At 39.1% G+C, this 21,615-nt stretch overlaps 1 protein-coding gene across 26 annotated transcripts in view; it reads left to right on the top strand.

Moving 5' to 3' along the window:
- Window positions 1-21,615, top strand: part of RNF38 (ring finger protein 38) — a 151,270-nt gene that overhangs the window by 97,796 nt on the left and 31,859 nt on the right. For 23 of the 26 annotated variants that reach the window (XM_047422796.1, XM_047422795.1, XM_047422794.1 and 20 more), the window contains 2 exons: window positions 13,747-13,940; window positions 19,942-20,155. In XM_047422796.1, coding sequence (XP_047278752.1) covers window positions 13,747-13,940; window positions 19,942-20,155 — 408 coding nt within the window. The remainder of the gene's footprint in view (window positions 1-13,746; window positions 13,941-19,941; window positions 20,156-21,615) is intronic. The other 3 variants (XM_017014296.2, XM_017014297.2, XM_017014294.2) reach the window with 1 other exon arrangement.

Raw genomic sequence — 21,615 nt, 5'->3', positions numbered from 1 at the left:
AGAAGCATGTTTTAGTAGTGGAAGTCAGTATCGCTGTTACCACAAAAGTTAGGTTACACAATTGCCTCTGAGTGGTAGGATTGCAGGCCAATGTGTATAAACCTGAGGTAGTGAAATAATTGATCATCAAGGCTGGGACTTTTGAATAAGAGCCAGCTCATTTTCTGTTTGTATGAAAGTGAAATGCTTGTGACACATAAAGTTGGAGATAAAAAATTTGGAGGGATAGGTGATCTAGGGCTCTTCAGTCTGGTATTCCTTCTTGGAATTTGTGCCAGGTTCTCTGCTTTGCATGTATTAACTCTTTTTGTTTTTAGCCCTCACAATAAACTAGTCATTGATAGTTTTTAAGATGTGGAAACAGGCTAAGAAAAGCTCAGTGAGGTGTCTAATCACATATGTAGTTATTTGGCAGAGAAGGGGCTCCAATCTAACTTTAGCTGTATCTTGTCTACTATGTATTTGTGGAAGAAATGGACTTAATACCCTTAATACTGCCACCAATAAAAAGGGTTTTTTTTTTTTTTTTGGATACTTTTCTCCATACTCCCTTTGTGTTTTCAAACAGTAACTCAATATAAACTTTAATTTCAGAGAGTAGCTGCCAAATGCAGTAGATTTAAATTCATGTTTTGAAAACAAAACAAAGAGCCAATTGCATTTGAGTGTTGCAGAAAGATGCAATGTATTGTTGTTAAATTTTTATTTAAATAGTTTTAATTTAACTTAAGCCTTATTTTCCTTGAACCTTAGAACAAAGCCCTCAATGAACTTTGGGGCGGGGGTGGAGGGGGATCTAGAAGGTTTTTTTTGCCCAGAAACTGCCCTACCACTGTTCGACATGAAGCAAAGTAGATCTTTCTCACAACCCCTTTGAGATACTGATACCTTCAGCTAGTTGATATCTTTTAAAAAAGGGTGTAATTTGTTAGTTCCAGTTATGCTTCTTATCCTTAAAAACTTAGTTACCACATGCAAAGAAAAACCTACCCAGCCATCTAGTGTCACAAAATTATTCCCTTAATGTGTTATGCTTTCTTATTGGCTTTCTCCTCAAGTACCTTCTCTCCCAATTCTTTCTACTTTTCCTTCTTTTTAGAATAATCTGTTTTAAACAGATTTGCCTGTGTTTTCATTTTTTTCTAAGGCACCCTCTCTGCTTCCTTTAAACTCCTGTCTTTTCTGAGGACATCAACCTTCTCTAGGAGTAAAGAAGTTAATTGATTGATTTCCACCACCCCCCACACCAAGCATGAGGAGTTGGGTGTGTGGCTAGTCAAGTGGCCATATGGGAGAAAAAATGTGTTGCTACACTTCCTGGATTCTTACTGTTGTTTCTACCACCAGTCTTTTTGAACAAAAAAAGTTATCCTGTTTTTGAGCTTTTTTTTTGTCAGTCATATCTATTATTTATCAGTTCTGTCATTGTCCTTGTTTATTACAAACTTCTACATTTTGCTTCTCATATTTGCTTGTTTTGTATTGCTCCTAGTCAAGACTTCTTTTTAATTGCCCAAAATTCAGGGTTTTCGTTTAAATTTTACATGCTTTGTGAAATAATATTTGTGAAATATTTCATATATGCAATTTAGAAAATGTAAAGCAGACATCTATATAATAATAAGACCATCTAGTATAAGAAACCAGCCATTACCAACACTTTTGAAGCCCCCATATGACCCTCCATGTTATATCCCATACTTGTGCCTCACGTACATCTCTCTTCAGTATCCTTTTGTTTTTCTGTATGGTTTTACCATATAAAATATCCCTTGATATTATACTGTTTAATTTTGCTTGTTTCTGAAGTTAGTATAAATGATGTCACACTTTGTATACTTTTTAAAAAATTCATCCCTACTAGTGTATCTGCCTGTATATACTTGATTTATTTTATTGTTTTTAGTTTTCTATTATATGACTATACTGCAGCTTGTCTCCTTTCTTTTTGCTTGACATTTGGGTAGTTTCCTGTTTTTTTTGTTTTGTTTTGTTTTTGTTTTTTAATGCTATTACAGGCAGTGCTTCCAGTAATATTTTGTATGTGCTTCCCGGTGCACATTTGGTTGGTATTTTAATGTTTCTGTGAAAATGATGGCTTTGTGTACTCATTGCCCACAGAAGAGGTGTAAGTGTAGGCTCATTTGCATCTCTATAAAAACCCATATTTAAAATTAGAATCTTAAAGTGCTTCATACAATATTTTAAACATTTTTAAATTAAGGTATACTTAACATAAAATTTACTTTTTTAGCATATAGGTTTGTGAGTTTGACAAATGCATACAGATGTGGAGTCACCACCACAATGAATAATAAAACACCCCCCAAAATTCCCTGATGTTTCTTTGCTGTCAACCCCTGTCTTAAAGTTTTAAAATTAGGCATGTCTTTACTATCAGTGGATTCAATGGTTGTGATTGAAGATAGTAAGTTTTCAAAAGGTAATTAAGTACATGGTGAAATAATTTTATATCTGGCACAACCATTAATTTTAGGGGTGTTTGTGGTATCTTAATGACTGCTATGTTATAGCTTTTATTTTGTAAATTTGTTAACAGAAAGGGGTCCTGATCCAGACCCCAGGAGAGGGTTCTTAGATCTTGTGCTAGAAAGAATTTGAGGTGAATCCATAAAGTGAAAGCAAGTTTATTAAGAAAGTAAAGGAGAGCAGCCCTAAGGCCTGCTGGTTGCCCATTTTTATGGTTATTTCTTGATTATGTGTTAAACACGGGGTGGATTATTCATGCCTCATTTATAGACAAGGTAGGGGCTCCCACACGGTGGCTCGCACCTGTAATCCCAGCAATTTGGGAGGCCGAAGCAGGTGGATCACTTGAGGTCAGGAGTTCGAGATCAGCCTGGCCAACATGGGGAAACCCCGTCTCTACTAAAAATACAAAAATTAACCAGGCGTGGTGGTGCGCACCTGTGGTCCCAGCTACTCAAGAGGCTGAGACACAAGAATCGCTTGAATCCGGGAGGCAGAGGTTGCAGTGAGCTGAGATTGTGCCACTGCACTCCAGCCTGGGCAACAGAGCAAGACTACCTCTCAAAAAATAAAAATAGACCATATTGGGTAACTTCCTGACATTGCCATGACATTTGTAAACTGTCATGGTGCTGGTGGGAGTGTAGCAGTGAGGATGACCAGAGGTCATTGTCATCACCATCTTGGTTTTAGTGGGTTTTAGCCGGCTTCTTTACTGCAACCTGTTAATATCAGGAAGGTCTTGTATCTTGTGCTGACCTCCTATCTCATCCTGTGACTCAGAATGCCTAACGTGATGGGAATGCAGCCCAGCAGGTCTCAGTCTTATTTTACCAAGCCACTGTTTAGTATGGAGGCACTCTGGTTCAAACGCCTCTAACAAATTTACTAAAGTTAAATTAGGTGAATGAAAATTTGAAAAGCTATACACATAGAGAAATATGCCAGGTTTCTGAAAGAGAAAATTATTGTGAAAATATCTATATTCTAGCAAATTTGTAGACTTAATGAAATTTCTAGCCAAAATATCAGCAGAATTTTGTTTTTAGAGCTTTCAGAATTGTTTTTAAATTCATATGGAAGATTATTGAAGAAAAGGGGGAAAAACTTTTCCAAAAATTGTCATAAGGGGAGAAATATGCCATAAGAGATAGCAAATCCTATTAGAAAGAAATAGCTCTGTCAGAGACCTCTGTGTTGGTATTAGGTTGGTGCAAAAGTAATTCTGGTTTCAGACCGTGAATTTTAAATCATCGTAGTTAGGCCCAAACACATCTTTATTACTCAAAATGGGAACCATTACAATCAACACATTTTTACCAACGATAAATAAGTTTGTTTATTCTGGTAGCATAAAAATCACTGCTTCGGGATTGGACGTACTCTTGGAAAGTATTTTCTGCATCCTGCTGGTTGTAGAAGGCTTTTCCCAGCAAAAAAGTTGGTTGTCGAGATGCTTGAAGAAGTGGTAGTCGGTCAGCGAGAGGTCAGGTAAATATGGCAGATGAGGCAAAACTTTGTAACCCAATTTGTTCAATTTTTGAAGCGTTGGTTGTGCGACGTGCCAAGAATTCAACGAGAAGAACTGGGCCCTTTCTGTTGACCAGTGCTGGCTGCAGGCATTGTAGTTTTCGGTGCACCTCATCAATTTGCTGAGCATACTTCTCAGATGTAATGGTTTTGCAGGGATTCAGAAAGCTGTAGTGGCTGGGCACGGTGGCTCATGCCTGTAATCCCAGCACTTTGGGAGGCTGAGGCGGGTGGATCACCTGAGGTCAGGAGTTCAAGACTAGCCTGGCCAACATGGTGAAACCCCATCTCTACTAAAAATACAAAAATTATCCGGATGTGGTGGCACATGCCTGTAATCCCTGCTACTCGGGAGGCTGAGGCAGGAGAATCACTTGAATCCGGGAGGCGGAGGTTACTGTGAGCCGAGATCGCGCCATTGCACTCCAGCCTGGATGACAAGAGCGAAACTGTCTCCAAAAAAAAAAAAAAAAGCTGTAGTGGATCAGACCAGCAGCAGACCACCAAACAGTGACTGTGACCTCTTTTTGGTGCAAGTTTGGCTTTGGGAAGTGCTTTGGAGCTACTTCTTGGTCCACCCACTGAGCTGGTTATCGGTTGTTGTATAAAATCCACTTTTCCTCTCATAACAAAATCTGATCAAGAAATGGTTCCTTGTTCTTGTGTAGAATAAGAGAAGATGATACTTCAAAACGATTTTTTTTTTTTAAATTTTCGGTTAGCTCATGAGGCACCCACTTAACCGAGCTTTTTCACTTTTCCAATTTGCTTCAAATGCCAACCTACCATAGCATAGAACAATTCATGTTGAGTTCTTCGGCAACTTCGCATGTAGTTGTAAGAGGATCAGCTCGATGATTGCTCTCAATTGGTCATTGTCAACTTCTGATGGCCAGCCATGCTCCTCATCTTCAAGGCTCTCGCCTCCCTTGCAGAACTTCTTGAACCACCACTGCACTGTATATTCGTTAGCAGTTCCTGGGCCAAATGCATTGTTGATGTTGCAAGTTGTCTCTGCTGCTTTATGACCCACCTTGAACTAAAATAAGAAAATTGCTTGAATTTGCTTTTTGTCTAACATCATTTCCTTAGCCTAAAATAAACATAAATAGCAAGTAATAAGTCATTAACAAAGAACATAAAGTGAGAAATTCCCATTAAAATGATATATAACATAACCACATTTATTTAAGAACGTATTCCAATACCAAACGGCAAATTCCAACACTGCATAAACTGCAGTTATTTTTGCACTCACCTAATACATCTGGTGGATATTTTTCAGCCCTTCATCCTGCATCCTTGAAACCTCCTTCGCCTGGCTTCCATCACACTCCACCCTCCTGCTAATCAAGTACCCAGCATTAAATGTTGGTGTTTCTTAGGTTTCCGTATTGGGCCTTGTTTTCATTACATAAACTTTTGAGGGGCAATTTTGTCTATGTCTGCAGCTTCATGAATGATGATCTGTATATCAACACTCCTAAATTTATATTCCTACCCTCTGAGCTTCAGCTGTTTACAGAACACCTCCAGGCGGGGTATCTCTCAAAGGATCTCTTGATTTCAGGTTGTTTTAGTATCTTTCCTATTTTCACTGGTTTCATGTTTATACTTTAGATTTTTTGTTTTAGTCTCTTATCTATAATTATAGCTTAAAATTATTATAGTTACAGATACATGAGTAGAATCTAGTATTCTGGTAGAAATATAGTGATACTTACAATTGTAGCATCAAGCTAAATTAGTTTTTGTGAACCAGTGATGTTTTGTGTAATTAGGAACTGTGAAAAATATAGTATATAACATCACTAGTCTGTTACTCAAATACTAGCCATGCAGGCCTCCTTAGACTTAGGAAACCACTTTATTTATAGTTCCTGTGTTTTGGTGGACTAGCAGTTATAGCCAATGATAGGAAAATACCGTATTTTACTATTCATCATGGTGTGATTGCAATACGTTATACTACTAGAGTGCCTTTCTGAGCAGCCACTGCATATCAAACTGTTATTTTCTTTGGGCTTCGGTTTAAAAAAAAAAAAACTTGGCACGTATCAAAGAGCAAAATTTTTTTGTTTCTGCATGTTTATGGTAACTTTTGAAAACAACATGGTAACTTTTGAAAACAACATTCAGAGCCTCTTCTATATCTGCAAGTAAAATAACATTTCAGGAGAATATATTAGTTGTCTGGTTGAGAGACAGAATTTCATTGCAAAATTGTGATCTGAGGAGTATAAGAATTATACATCAAATGAAAGTCCTATGTGAAATGAGACTGTGTACATTATGTAGTTCAAGGGCAGCATGTTCACTGAACTGCCTTAAAAAGTTTCAGTTTCACTAATAGAAACACATTTAGGCCGGCCGTGGTGGCTCATGCTTATAATCCCAGCACTTTGGGAGGCTGAAGTGGGCGGATCATGAGGTCAAGAAATAAAGACTGTCTTGGCCAACATGGTGAAATACATCTCTACTAAAAATACAAAAATTGGCTGGTGCGCGCCTGTAGTCCCAGCTACTTGGTAGACTGAGGCAGGAGAATCGCCTAAACCCAGGAGGCGGAGGTTGCAGTGAGCTGAGATCGCGCCACTGCACTCCAGCCTGGCAGCAGAGCGAGACTCTGTCTCAGCAACCAAAAAACCACATTTTACGTATTATCTGGACATAGTTTAAAAATGAAAACCTCAGCTTGTGGAGAATAAAATGAGGTAATGTTAGAAGTCATTTTGTAAACTATTGTGTGATCCAAATATAAAATTCTTAATTTTCTGCTTTCCCCAGCTTATATCCATCTTCTGCAAAACAAAAAAGGATCTTGTCTTATTTTTTAGTAACAAGTTGCTTATATAGAGTGTTGATTTCTAAGTGTTTTCACATTTATTTAAAATGAATAAAATTTAGTGAGAGTTTGCTCTTCCTGGGCCCTTTGCATTTAACTGTTTTTCCTTAATTGTGGAATAAGAAACTTCATTTTTGTTAAAGGTAATTAAGGCAAGTAGAGAAAGTCTGGGAGTTTAAAGGAGAATTGAAGATTCTTAACTCATGCTGTGCTTATTTGTAAATCTAAGGTGAAGAGTAGTCCTGACTGATTAGAAAGAGGACCAGGTTCTTGAGAAATTCCATTTCCCCACACAAGTTGCCTCTTTGCTGCTTTGGGAAGGAAGTCCTTAGGGCTCACTAGTGGTTGCCATTAGAGGCATGTTGTAGTCACTGAGTAGAACTTGAAACCTGTTTCTGTTTTGGGAAAAGTTTGTCTGGCTCAGCATCTCCTATTATCTCTAAGACTTGCTGATATATATATAAACCCAAGATATATATTACATATAAAATTGTTTTTCTTTAGCCTTTAATGACTTCTGACTTGTTCATCTGGAATTATGGAATGCATTCTTATGCCTGCCTCAGGTTCATTTCACTTCTGTTGATGTTTTGGTAATAAAAATGGTTTGGTGTTAATAGAGGTGTACTCCTAGACTCATTTTTATCAGATTTAATGCTAAGCATAAAACCTGCCTTTCCTTCCTTCCTCCCATTATGACCTCTTTGACCTCCCTTGATCCCTAAATCTGTAGCAGTGTTCTATACTGTAATGTCTGTACAACGTTCTATATTATTAAATAATAGAGACAGTACTTGTACCAGATTTGAATCAACATCTTATGAATTTTAAATTGTCAACACTTGGTACTTTGAAAAGTTGGTCCACTGGCCTAGAATCAACAAGGAGAGGAGGGAAAGAACTTCTCTGCCTGATAATTCAAAATCTAAATTATCCAAGCATCATCACCTGGGATAATAGTAGAGATGACAGTTCATGGACCTCTGGTCCAGACTTTCTGAATTAGAGACGGGGGAGTGAGGCCAGCAAGCAATCTGGTGTTTCTGAAGCATGAAGGTTTGAGAACTACTGGCATAGGTATTAATGGAAAGACCCAACTCTGTGAAAACATTTTAAAGAGGTTTATTCTGAGACAATATGAGTGACCATGGTCTGGGAAACAGTCTCAGGAGGTCCCAAGGAAATGTACCCACTACAGTCGAATTACAGTTTTAGGGAGGCAGGAGTTACAAAGTCATAAATCAATACATGGAAAGTATACATTGTTTCAAACCGAAAAGACACAGAATATCTTGAAGTGAGGACTTAAAGATTTTAGGTGGATTCAGAGATGAGATTCTGTAATTTGCAGTTGGTTTATAGAGTAAAGCTTTGTCTAAAAATTTGGATTCAGCAGAAGGGAATCTTATAAGAAAGTCTGTTAACCAATACACTGGGTTAGAGTGACCTGTAGGGGTGTGTGAGTTAACCCTTGTCTGGCTTGGCCTTAGGTCCTGTTTATAATTTGGTATCTTATTGTCACAAAAAGTCCATTCTGTTAGGTCCTATAATTTCTATTTTAACATTAATGCTGGTCAGTTTTGCCTAAACTCCAGAAGCAGGGGATGGAGAGATAAAATGAGGTGTATCTAGTCTTCCTTCCTGTCCAGGCCAAGAACTCAATTTTTCTAGTTTCTCTGGGGTCTCTGTAGTCAAGAGAGAGTCAGTTCAGTCATTTGGGGGGGATTTTATTTTTAGTTTACAAAAGCAGTGGGAATATCCTTCCAGATTCAGTTTTGTATTTACTCATGTAAAGAGACCTTGTAGTAGCGTAGTTCTGGATGAGTTTTTATGTTTTTATGTTTAGAGGTTCACAGACAGCATGGATCGTGAAAATCTGAACCCCAAATAGGGTGTGAGGAGTGAACCTAAGTTTGAATTCTCACGGGAGAAACCCACTTCCACTCGAAGTCAACACAGAGCAGACATTTCCTTATTGACGTTTCCTTCTCTTTTCCACTGGAATGACTTTTTCTTGTCTTCCTTTTTAAGTGTACTACTTTGGAAATTTTGACTACTTCATGTAGGGGTCTCAGTCATAAGGCCTTATCTTCTATTCCTCTTGAGAGCATCAAAAATACAAATTTGGTCTTCAGTTTTCCTCAGTTTCTGAGTCCTTGATGATTTCCCTTTTTTCCCCTGCATTTAGCACTGCATTTTAAAAGCATGTTTGTTAGCCAGGCGTAATGACTCAACACCTGTAATCCCAGCACTGTGGGAGGCCGAGGTGGAAGGATTGCTTGAGCCCAGGAGTTTGAGACCAAACTGGGCAATATAGTGAGACCTTGTATCTCCAAAATTTTTTTTTAATTAGCTGGTCATGGTGGTGTGCACCTGTAGTCCCAGCTACTTGGGAGACTTAGGTGAGAGCATCTCTTTAGCCCGGGATGTGGAGGTTGCAGTGAGCTGAGATCGTGCCACTGCACTCCAGCCTCAATGACAGAGTGAGACTGTCTTTAAAAAAAAAACAGGCCGGGCGCAGTGGCTCACGCCTGTAATCCCAGCACTTTGGGAGGCCAAGGCGGGCAGATCACCTGAGGTCAGGAGTTCGAGACCAGCCTGACCAACGTGGAGAAACCCCATCTCTACTTAAAAATACAAAATTAGCAGGGTGTGGTGGCGCATGCCTGTAATCCCAGCTACTCGGGAGGCTGAAGCAGGAGAATCGCTTGAACCCAGGAGGCGGAGGTTGCAGTGAGCCGAGATCCTGCCATTGCACTCTACCTGGGCAACAAAAGCAAAGCTCCATCTCAAAAAACAAGCAAAAAAGTATGTTATATTTAAGCCATTATTTTTAGATTTTTGTATTTTGATTTTCACTAAATGTCCGTGATTTTATCATAAACATTTAGAGTTTACATTAATAGAGTTTATACTTCCATTCTGTTCTGTAACTACAGTAGTGATCTTTCATGCCTTGTCCTAGGTTGATTTTAACTATCAGAAACTAGTAAACACTTTGCATCATGTTAGGAACATCCATATATTTAGTCATTGCAGAACCAAGAGCATGTGTGGCCCATGGAAAAGTGAATGTAATCTTCTGACTACCCATTCCACTCAAAGAATGCTTTAGATGACAAGGTCAGATGAATTTGCATTCCTCATTGACTTTCCTGGACTGATTGTCTTTTATATAATGACAGAGCTGTCTGCTTAAATTTTATTAATAACTTCCAAGTTCTCAGTCATATATTTTGATTCTATTTAGGGCATTTTTCTCGGAGCCCTCTGACTTCTTGTTCTAATGTGGAATGATGAATTTCCACACTTCCTATACTACCATTCCTGGAATTTCATTTCATTGTACTCTCTGGGTTACTTCTGTCATTTATTGGATATTGTGTAATAGCTTCAAATCAGAGAGATAGGGAAGGTTGTGAGCACACATCAAGTGATTTTCTGCTATGTAAGGAGCACCTTTGGGTCTTGATATATCTGACAAAGGTCATTTTTTTTATGCTTCCACACTAGATTAATAGTGTGATTGGAGTACAAAATTTGGGTTCAATATTCATTTCCCTCAGAGAACTTTTAGCATCTGTTTCTGCTATAGGAAGTCTGATGTTAATATAATTCTTATTTCTTTGTAGGTTACTACCCCTTCCCTTTTCTGGAAACTGTGAGAATTTCTTTGAAGTTCCTTAGAGTACTAAAATTGATAAGGGAAGTGATGAAATCATATTGCATGTAGCAAACTACTTTTTAATGTTTGCCTGTATTTAGTCATTGTAGTTTCCTGTGACTTTGAGTTAGAAAGTAAACTTATTGGCCCAGCGCAGTGGCTCACGCCTGTAATCCCAACACTTTGGGAGGCCAAGGCGGTCGGATCACCTGAGGTCGAGAGTTCGAGACCATCCTGACCAACACAGAGAAACCCCATCTCTACTAAAAATATGAAATTAGCCAGGCATGGTGGTGCATGCCTGTAATCCCAGCTACTCGGGAGACTGAGGCAGGAGAATCACTTGAACCCAGGAGGCAGAGGTTGCGGTGAGCCGAGATGAGGCCACTGCACTCCAGCCTGGGCAACAAGAGTGAAACTCCGTCTCAAAAAAAAAAAAAGGAAAAAGAAAAGTAGTAAGTACTCTAATGAATAGCTCCCTTCACTTCCCATTCTTTGTCTCTTCTTTGTCACCATCATAGCACAAAGAGAAGTGATGGTAACTTTACTTTTCGCAGCCACTTTCCTTACCTCTACTTTTAAAAGCTTTGCATGTCTTGTAAAGTAAGAACATTTTTAGCCCACAATTTGAACATCACTGAAAATATATAAAGGTTTATAAACTAAGGGCTTTCTCTGGTCATTTGACCTTTATCGTGAGTATCTGTAGCATTCGCCTCCATTTTAGGTAGTGAATTTTTAGAATTCAAAGTTCTGTGTCTTAGCTTACATTAGGCTTATTCAGAGTAGGATATACAATGTGGGGTATGTATGAAAAGCTAATGATCATGATTCGTTACTAGCATTTTGTTTTTAAAAAGTCAGTGTTAAGCTGGGCATGGTAACTCACACCTGTAAACCCAGCAGTTTGGGAGGCCGAGATGGGCAGATCATGAGGTCAGGAGATCAAGACCATCCTAGCTAACAAGGTGAAACCCCGTCTCTACTAAAAATACAAAAAATTAGCTGGGCATGGTGGCATATGCCTGTGGTCCCACCTACTCGGGTGGCTGAGGGAGGAGAACCACTTGAACCCAGGAGGCGGAGGTTGCGGTGAGCCAAGATGGCGTCACTGAACTCCAGCCTGGGCAACAGAGCAAGACTCCGTCTCACAAAAAAAAAAAAAAAAAAAAAAAGTCAGTGTTAATCAAATCTGTTTCACCAGTTGTGCAGCCAGCCTGTTTCTGGTGCTCATGTAGTTCATGTGCAAGTTTGTCAGGTCTTGATTGTTCTACCTTTTAAAAAAAATCAGAATATTTAAATTTCAGTGGTTATTTACCTTTTTTTTTAAGTTTTAGGATTATCAGAACATAACTAACTTTCTCACTAAAATTAAAGGATGAAAATAACTGTACTTTTACTAGATTAGTTGGTGGTTCCTTACCCAAAGATTGAACCAACCACGGATGGGAAATAGTCAGAAAAAATGAAATAAAAGTAACAATACAACAATACAGAATAATACAAATTTTAAAATACAGTATAACAGCTATTTATAAAACATTTATATTGTATTGTGTTGATATTATTAAGTAATCTAGAGATTTAAAGTATATGGGAGGATGTGTGTACGTTATATGCAAATACGACACCATTTTATATCAGGAACCTGAGCGTCTTAAGATTTTGGTATGGGGGAGTGGTCTCTGGAACCAACTCCCTAGAATACTGAGGGACGACTGTACAGTTAAATCTAGGGAGAAAATAAGGTTAGTATGGTGGTAGGAAAGTTAGAACAAAATGCTTTTGTGTTTTGTATTTTAATTATAATGATAATAAAATTGATTATAATATCTCCTAAATATAGAAGGGAAATGACATGGTTTTTGGAATACTGCTAAGTAATTTGGAAAGATCAAATGTAGCCATTTACCAATTTGCTTCATTCCTTTCAGCTTAAATAATCAGTTCTGATTTATATGCTTATTTAAAATCTAACACTAATTTATAATCCTGTATATTTTTGCAGTGGTATAAGATGATTTTTATGGTAGCTGCAGGTACTAATTATTTTGCAACCAAAAGTACTGTAATGCCCAACTAATTAGAACTTGCAGTAATAGATTGGAGATAGACGTTCTATTAGAAAACACACAGCCTTATCAAATTTTCAGTCAATTTGTAACTTTGATATTTTTGGGTAGACTGATTTGGGAAATTGAGTCAGGTGGAGAACCCTGGAGTGTTATTAATGCAATTAAGTGATCCATATCAGTTTTGTAGCTAGTAAGTCCATGTGGGACCCTTGAAAACTTTAAAAGTACTTCCAAACTGCTGTGATATTCTAGTTAAGAACTGATCATGTAAATCTGCTATTTCTTTATCTGTCTAACATAAATCTTATTTTATCCATGTAACTTTTTTTTTTTTTTTTTTTTTGAGACAGAGTCTCACTCTTGTCGCCGAGGCTGGGGTGCCATGGCGTGATCTCAGCTCACAACAACCTCCGCCTCTTGGGTTCAAGCGATTCTCCTGCCTCAACCTCCCAAGTAGCTGGGATTACAGGCATGTGCCACCACGCCCAGCTAATTTTTGTGTTTTTAGTAGAGACGGGATTTCACCATGTTGGCCAGGCCGGTCTCGAACTCCTGACCTCCAGTGATCCACCCGCCTCTGCCTCCCAAAGTGCTGGGATTACAGGTGTGAGCCACTGTGCCCGGCCCCATGTAACTCTCTTTAAAAAAAATAAATATAGTGGCCTAAACAGATAGAAGGAGGGAGAGGAGTGTGATTTAGAATCAAATTGAGGGCCTACTCAAATTATATCTCCTACTAAGCTGAACTCACAGCTGAGAATTGATGTCTTATTGATGGGAGATTGTAGTGTAGTGTAATTTTTCAGGTGGTTTGGGAATTTAAAGAGAAGGTCGAGTACTACACGAAAGTTTTATTATGCTGTTTTATACCCTATATGTCGTTACCTCATTTGCCTTAGAATGAGTTTTTAAAAACAAAGCTTATTTTTCACTTCGTATCATTTACTGTGCATCTCCCTCCCCTGTTCTACCCCATCCCAGCATTTTTTAAAGGTTTTAAATTTGAATTGATAGCATATATTTTTTTCCCCGCTTTACATTTTTAGATTTTAGGTTAAGTACATCCTAACACCTGTGCATATGCAGTAATGTGAAATCTTTAAAAGATCTTACTCAGTTGATCCATTTTGTTGCATTGGCAGAGTGAAGATAGTCCAAGTCCTAAGAGACAGCGCCTCTCTCATTCAGTCTTTGATTATACATCAGCATCACCAGCTCCCTCACCACCAATGCGACCATGGGAGATGACATCAAATAGGCAGCCCCCTTCAGTTCGACCAAGCCAACATCACTTCTCAGGGGAACGATGCAACACACCTGCACGCAACAGAAGAAGGTTAGTTGATTACAATTTATTTCTTAAGTTTTCTTCCATTGGTAGATTTGTGAGTATATTTAACATCAGAAAACATTTTTTCTGTAGGCATTTCATAAACACATCACCACATATACACGTACATTCACTCACGAAAAAGAAAGTTGCCTAGATTTCCAGTAGGTTAGAAGAGTTTATTTAGCTTATCATTGACAGATGAAGAAATGGAAAGAGGCTAAAATCAGTCGATGCCATTATATATGAAATTAGCTACTTAAGGTACAGATTGTTGTGGACTAGCCTGCGATCTTGACTATTAGAAGATGCATTTTGTAGTTCATAACTGTAAGGATATATGGAAGTCTTAGAAATGAGCTACTCCTTTTCTACTCCATTCCTTTTCCTTCTGTATCCTCAAAGGCAATTAGGAGCTTAATTATGTTTCTTATAAACCCATGGAGACTTGGCACAGTAGTAGCTCATGCCTATAATCGCAACATTTTGGGAAGCCAAAGTGGGAGGATCACTTGAGGCCAGGAGTTCGAGACCAGCCTGGGCAACATAGCAAGACCCTGTCTCTCTCAAAAAAACAAAAAATTAGCTGAGGATGTTGGCGCACATCTGTAGTCCAAGATGAAACTGAGACAGGAGGATTGCTTGAGCCCAAGAGTGTAAGGCTGCAATGAACCTTAGCTATGATTGTTCCACTGCACTCTAGCGTTGGTGACAGAATGAGACACTGTATTTAAAAAACAAAACAAAAAACAACTGTGGAGCCCGTGGTATGAAAAGATGACAAGTTTAGTTCAACTTTTAGGCAATGGGATTTGGCCCTTGTCTTTTCATCCTAGAGGAGTGCATTTCTTCCTGAGTTTCTTCCTCATTATTTGTTGCCAGAGGTCATGTATTTCATATCCCAGGGAAATAGTGAGTGCATTGTGAGGTGCATATCCAGGATGTTGAAGGAATATCAATGATCTTGAGTTAGGAAGGTGTTGCAGACCAAATGTTTGTAACCCCTCCTCCCCAATTAATGTGTTGAAGCTGTAACCTTCCTGTAACCCTCAGTGTGGTTGTATTTGGAGATGTGACCTCTAAGGAAGTGTAATTAACGTTAAATGAGGTCATAAGGTTAGGACCCTTACCCAGCAGGATTAATGTCCTTTAAGAAGCAATGCGCCGGGGTGGCTCACGCCTGTTATCCCAGTACTTTGGGAGGCCAAGGTTGGCGGATCACGAGGTCAGGAGACCATCCTGGCCAACATGGTGAAGCCTCGTCTCTACTAAGATGCAAAAAATTAGCCAGCTGTGGTGGTGCGCACCTGTAGTCCCAGCTACTCGGGAGGCTGAGACGGGCGAATCTGAGGCAGGGGAATTGCTTGAACCCAGGAGGCGGAGGTTGCAGTGAGCCAAGACCGCACCACTGCACTCCAGCCTGGAGACAGAGCAAGACTCTGTCTCAAAAAGAGATGTCGGGGAACTCATCCTCCACCATATGAGGAGACAGTGAGATGTAGTTGTCTGCAAGAGCCAGGGAAAAGATCCCTCTCCAAAAACCGACTATGTTGGTACCTTGATTTCAAACTTCTAGGCTTTAAAACTTTGAGAAATTAAGTATCTGTTTAAGCCACCCAGTCTGCAATGTTTTGTTATGGCAGCCTGAGCGGGCTAATGCAGAAGGGATCTTAAAACCAGCATTCTGTGTTCCAGCTGAAAGAACATAAACCTGTCTCTGAGCTCTATTCTGTTGAGACATTAAGACTTTTACATTACCCAGTACCTTATTAACCAATTACATGGGAATGTTTTTAGGTAAGATAGTATATGGCTAGCAGATAAAGTATTTTATAGCTATTAAATATAATAAGCATGAGAAAGTATAGTTATTGCAAAGTTAAGGCCTGAGTACCTGCTGTAGTCTTCCTATTTTATGATGAATAAAACAAATGTACAGTTAAAAGGCAGGCCGGGCGCAGTGGCTCGCACCTGTAATCCCAGCACTTTGGGAGGCCGAGGTGGATGGATCACCTGAGATCAGGAGTTCGAGACCAGCCTGACCAACATGGTGAAACCCTGTCTCTACCAAAAATACAAAATTAGCCGGGTGTGCATTGCACTCCAGCCTAGGCAACAAAAGCGAAACTCCATCTTAAAACAAAAAACAAAAAAAGGCTAGCAAGGCCGGGTGCGGTGGCTGACAACGTGTAATCCCAGCGCTTTGGGAGGCCGAGGCAGGCGGATCACCTGAAGTCAAGAGTTCGAGACCAGCCTGGGCAAAATGGCAAAACCTGAGATCGCGCCACTGCACTCCAGCCTGGGGGACAGGGTGAGACTCTGTCTCAAATTAAAAAAAAAAAAAAAAAAAGGGCTAACAAATACATACACCCACCACCTAGGTGAAAATTAGTGTTATTGATCCCTCAAAGGCCTCAGGTGCTACCGTTCCCCTTCATTTTTCTTAGAGGGTAACCTTGTTCTGGAATTTGACATTATTCCCTGTTCAGTCATAGTTTTTAATACTTAGGAATGTACTGTTAAGATAATGTGATTTTGGTTTTTGCCTGTTCTCCTTTAAATGTATTTTTCTTTGACTGTTTATTAAGCATTCTGTTTTTAATGTTGATAGCAGTAGCAATAGTTCTATTACTGTGATATAATGTTCCATTATATTAATGTACCACACAATTTATGTATCCGCCTGCTGTTGTTGGCTAGTAGCTATGCCCAGTTTCTTAACTTTTTTATTGGAAATGTAGTTTCAGTCTTGTTGCCCAGGCTGGAGTGCAATGGTGCGATCTCGGCTCACTGCAACCTCCACCTCCCACATTCAAGTGATTCTCCTGCTTCAGCCTCACAAGTAGCTGGGATTACAGGTGCCTGCCACAACACCCAGCTAATGTTTTGTATTTTTAATAGAGATGGGGTTTCACCATGTTGGCCAGGCTGGTCTCAAACTCCTGACCTCAGGTGATCCATCCACCTCGGCCTCCCAAAGTGCTGGGATTACAGGCATGAGCCACTGCACCCGGCTCTTAGTATTATAAACAATACTGTTAGGAACCTTTGTGTGTGCATTTCTCTGTGTACATGTGCAAAAGTTTCATTAGGATGTAAGTCTAGGAGTAGAATTGCTAGTCACAGGAAATGCCTTGGACCAGGAAGGGAGTGTCAGAAATGTCTGTTTACAGATGATGATAATAGTAATTAGCTTTGAGTTCTTTGAAAAGCATCATGGTCCTCGTTCATAGCAAGACAAAAGAGTAGTAGAGAGTATTTACCACCCTGAAAACTGGCTCTCCTAGTGTTTTTTTCAGCAGTGTGTCTTACTCTGTATTCTGTTCTTGTTTACTACTTAATATAGGTTACCTATAAGCATATTGCCAGATTTTCTCCCAGAAACAGGCTGTGCCAAGCAGATGCAGTTTTTAACAATAATCTAGCAGGATTTCAGTTACAGAGGTGAGCACAAAGCTAGGTATTTGAAAAAAACGAATGAAGTGAAAGAGGGATACTATTAATAAATGCAATAAAACAAAGAACTGTGAATAAACAGGGCCATTAAACTCAATTAACAATAAACTTCAAGAAACAATAGAACAAGCAAGATCGAATTTTAGAGTACATGTGAGATGTAAGAGGGAGAGGGATGAGGGATATTGTACTCATGAAAATCAACTAGAAATGTTAGCTGGTAAAACTTAATAAATAGAAAAAGTGAGTTCATTCAGCTGGGCGCGGTGGCTCACGCCTGTAATCCCAGCACTTTGGGAGGCTGAGGTGGGCGGATCACAAGGTCGGGAGTTCAAGACCAGCCTGGCCAATATGGTGAAACCCTGTTTCTACTAAAAATACAAAAATCAGCCAGGCAAGGTGGCAGACGCCTGTAGTCCCAGCTACTCGGGAGGCTGAGGCAGGAGAATCGCTTGAACCCAGGAGGCAGAGGTTGTAGTGAGCCGAGATCGGGCCACTGCACTCCAGCCTGGCAGACAGGGCGAGACTCTGTCTCAAAAAAAAAAAAAAGAAAAGAAAAAGTGAGTTCATTCTGGAAGATCAAGTGGAGGAAATTTCCCAGAATGTAGTGTAACGGGGCAAAATAAAAAATGTGGAAAAGTAAATTTAAGTATGAACACAGAGTCATAAGTTCTAAATGTCTAATATTTCCAGAAGAAGGCAATACGAGAAAAATTTAAAAGAAATAATGTAGGCCAGGTGCAGTGGCTCCCACCTATAATCCCAGTACTCTGGGAGGCTGAGGCAGGCAGATCACCTGAGGTCAGGAGTTCGAGACCAGCTTGGCCAACATGGTGAAACTCTGTTTTTACTAAAAATACAAAAAAAAAATTAACTGGGCTTGGTGGTGGACATCTGTAATCCCAGCTACTTGGGAGGTTGAGGCAGGAGAATCGTTTGAACCTGGGAGGCAGAGGTCGCAGTGAGCCGAGAGATCGTGCCATTGCACTCCAGCCTGGGTGACAAGAGTGAAACACCGTCTCAAAAAAAAAAAAAAAAAAGCTTTTAGTCCTAAGGTGGAGGGCGTCTTGAATTCAATATAATACAGTAAGTAGAGTTTGAAGCAAAAATGCAAAAAGGATTGTATTAAAAATAAAGTTAGAAGAAACAATTAATGGAGCAAGAAGCTGGAGGGACAATATCAAGAGCACCTTTGCGAGTTGATCTCATAAAGGAATGTCCCTTGTTCTCTTAAGATTGGAGAATTAGGAGTAAGAAGAAACAGATTTAGAGGAACAGAGTGGGAAGATTAAGGAAAAAGTGACCATAAAGAAAGTTGCTAAAATGACACTTGGAGTTCTTCCTAGAAGGGAGATGTTTGACCTCCTTTGCCCAATGTAGAGTACAGTTTTAATGAGGCAGAGTACTTTTTCAAGTTGCTTTTGTGCTGAGCCATTGTAAAAAGCAGTTTCAGAGAAGAACAAAATGAAAGTTTAGTCACAATAAAATTTTTATTAAACTATGTCGATGACTAGTACATGGAGAGTAAATGTGGGTTGCTTCAATAAGCAAATTCTCTCCCTCTCTTTTTTTTTTAAGACATGGTCTCACTCTGTCGCCCAGGCTGGAGTGCAGTGGCGTGATCTCAGCTCACTACAGCCTCGGCCTTCCAGGCTTTAGGTGATTCTCCCACTTCAGCCTCCCAGGTAGCTGGGACTATAGGTGCACACCACCACGCCCGGCTAATTTTTTGTATTTTGGGGTAGAAACAGGGTTTCACCATGTTTCCCAGTCTGGTCTCGAACTCCTGGGCTCAAGGGATCCACCTGCCTCAGCTTCCCAAAGTGCTAGGATTACAGGCATGAGCCACTGCACCTGGCCCAACAAGCAAATTCTAATTTAAAATTCTATGTAAGTATATATACCTTGTGTGCACCCATAAAAATTAAAAGTTAAAAATTTTATATATTCTTGGAATATTTATGTTGATACTATCATATTCTCAATCATATTCATCGCGTGTTTACCCAGTTTCTATTTGCGGTTGTCAGCAAATTATATGTTCTTTGGTTATTTCATGTTTTCTCATTTTTTAAAAGTGTCATTTTGGCCACATAGGAACTATGTCTTATGTATGTGTTAGCTAAATAGACAAAAAGGTGCCTATTAGGTATATGAGGAACACTGACAAGGTATCTACAGATTAAAGTTCGTTTTATTATAATATTTAAAAAGGGAGAAAATGGTAGGTTAAATTATATGAAATTGTTGCTATTAGACTATTTTTCACTTATAAAAAGGGCAATTTCATATGATTCAAGAAAAAATTGTAGCTGTTGATTTCTAAATACTTTCAGAGATGAATACCAATACTGTTTGCTTTCATTATTGTATAAAACATATACCTTGTATTTAAATTTGTAAGTTTTTAGAGCTGATGGGGAATTTTAGCAGTTATTTAATAATGAAGCTTACCTTAGCATATACTATTGATAGATATCAAAGAAAGACAATACAGAATCCTGATGGATCACAATAAGCATAATGACTTTCTTTTTGATATTTATCACAGTCCTCCTGTCAGGCGCCAGAGAGGAAGAAGGGATCGTCTGTCTCGACATAATTCCATTAGTCAAGATGAAAACTATCACCATCTCCCTTACGCACAGCAGCAAGCAATAGAGGAGCCTCGAGCCTTCCACCCTCCGAATGTATCTCCCCGTCTGCTACATCCTGCTGCTCATCCACCCCAGCAGAATGCAGTCATGGTTGACATACATGATCAGGTACAATAACAGAATGTCTTGGAAATACAGAAGCTGAAATTTTGTGGCAGTTTGAGATTTTTTTTTTTTGGCTTTTTGTTGCAAATTTCTTTTAGTTTTTACCTAAAATGAAGTTATTTAAGTTCCTCATTCCTTTTAAGAATTGAGATTTAAATTCTACACAGCTTCCATAGAAGAAAGTTGAACTTAAAAAATTAGTATCGGCCCAGCACGGTGGCTCATGCCTGTAATCCCAGCACTTTGGGAGGCTGAGGCAGGCACATCACTTGAGCTTAGGCATTCGAGACAAGCCTAACACAGTGAAACCCCGTCTCTACTAAAAGTACGAAAATTAGCTGGATGTGGTGGTACATGTTTATGATCCCAGTTGATGCAGAAGAATCACTTGAACTCAGGAGGTGGAGGTTGCAGTGAGTCAAGATCGCACCACTGCACTGGGTGGCAGAACGAGACTTCGTCTCAAAAAATTAAAAAAAAGGATCAAGGTTATGAAAGCTTAGAATGAATTCATGTATGCTTGATTTGAAATTATTGATTTAAGATTAGTAGGAAATAGCAGACAACTGATGGTTTGAGTACATATTCCTGTTTCCTAGTTTCTTCTGGAATAATTCAATAAGCAAGACAGTTGGGTACATCTTTGCTTATAGGTTTTCATAGGCCTCCAAGGAGATGACAGGTACAAGCCTACAATGTTTCATTTCCCTTTTCTTTCTGCCAAGAACTGAGGGACCAGCTGAGGAGAGAGGTTGCCTATCTTCAGAGCCTGAGGATGAAGACCACAATTTTATGGTGGTCTTTTCTGTGGAGTTTCTGAGGTCAAAAAAAAAAAGACATGTGTCTAAGCATGTCCTTATAAAAATTGCTGGATTTTAAGGATAAGGGGGAAATCTTGTGAGTTTATAAACCAAAAAAAATTACCAGAGAATGCTAATGAGAATAGGATCTCAATTTTCATCTACTGCACTAGATAATAAACAATAACACATAGTGACAATTGAGAAAATATCTTACCTAGATACTCTTCTTATGCCAGACATTTTTATTATGTTCATGAAACACTTAAAAATTGATCATGTAGGAAAGCTTACCTTATTTGTGGCCGTAACCTGATAAAAGTATGGATATAAAATACTGAAAAACACAATTTTTGTACCTTCTCCCCATCCCCTTGAGCAAGAAAAGCAAAATGGAGGAAAGTGTTTACAAAGTCCCATTTTGTAAAGCATAATTAATATGTATATGAGTGTATGTATATAGGACTATGTGAACACAGAGAAAAATACAGAGAAATACATACTAGGCTTGTAGGGTAAGTGCTAAAGTGAAGGAGGGGTGGTGGTTAGTGATGGAGCCAAAGAAAGAAAAGACTGCATTTCAGAAAAGGCAAGGTCTCATTTATGTAGTAGTGTTACGTGTTGAGTCTGTATATTGGAATATGAAAACATTACATATGTAAA

This window comes from Homo sapiens, chromosome 9 (genome assembly GCF_000001405.40).
Source record: "Homo sapiens chromosome 9, GRCh38.p14 Primary Assembly".
In the NCBI taxonomy this organism is placed as follows: domain Eukaryota; kingdom Metazoa; phylum Chordata; class Mammalia; order Primates; family Hominidae; genus Homo; species Homo sapiens.
The sequence above is the reverse complement of the archived record's forward strand: the minus strand, read 5'-3'. Positions and strand labels throughout refer to the sequence as shown.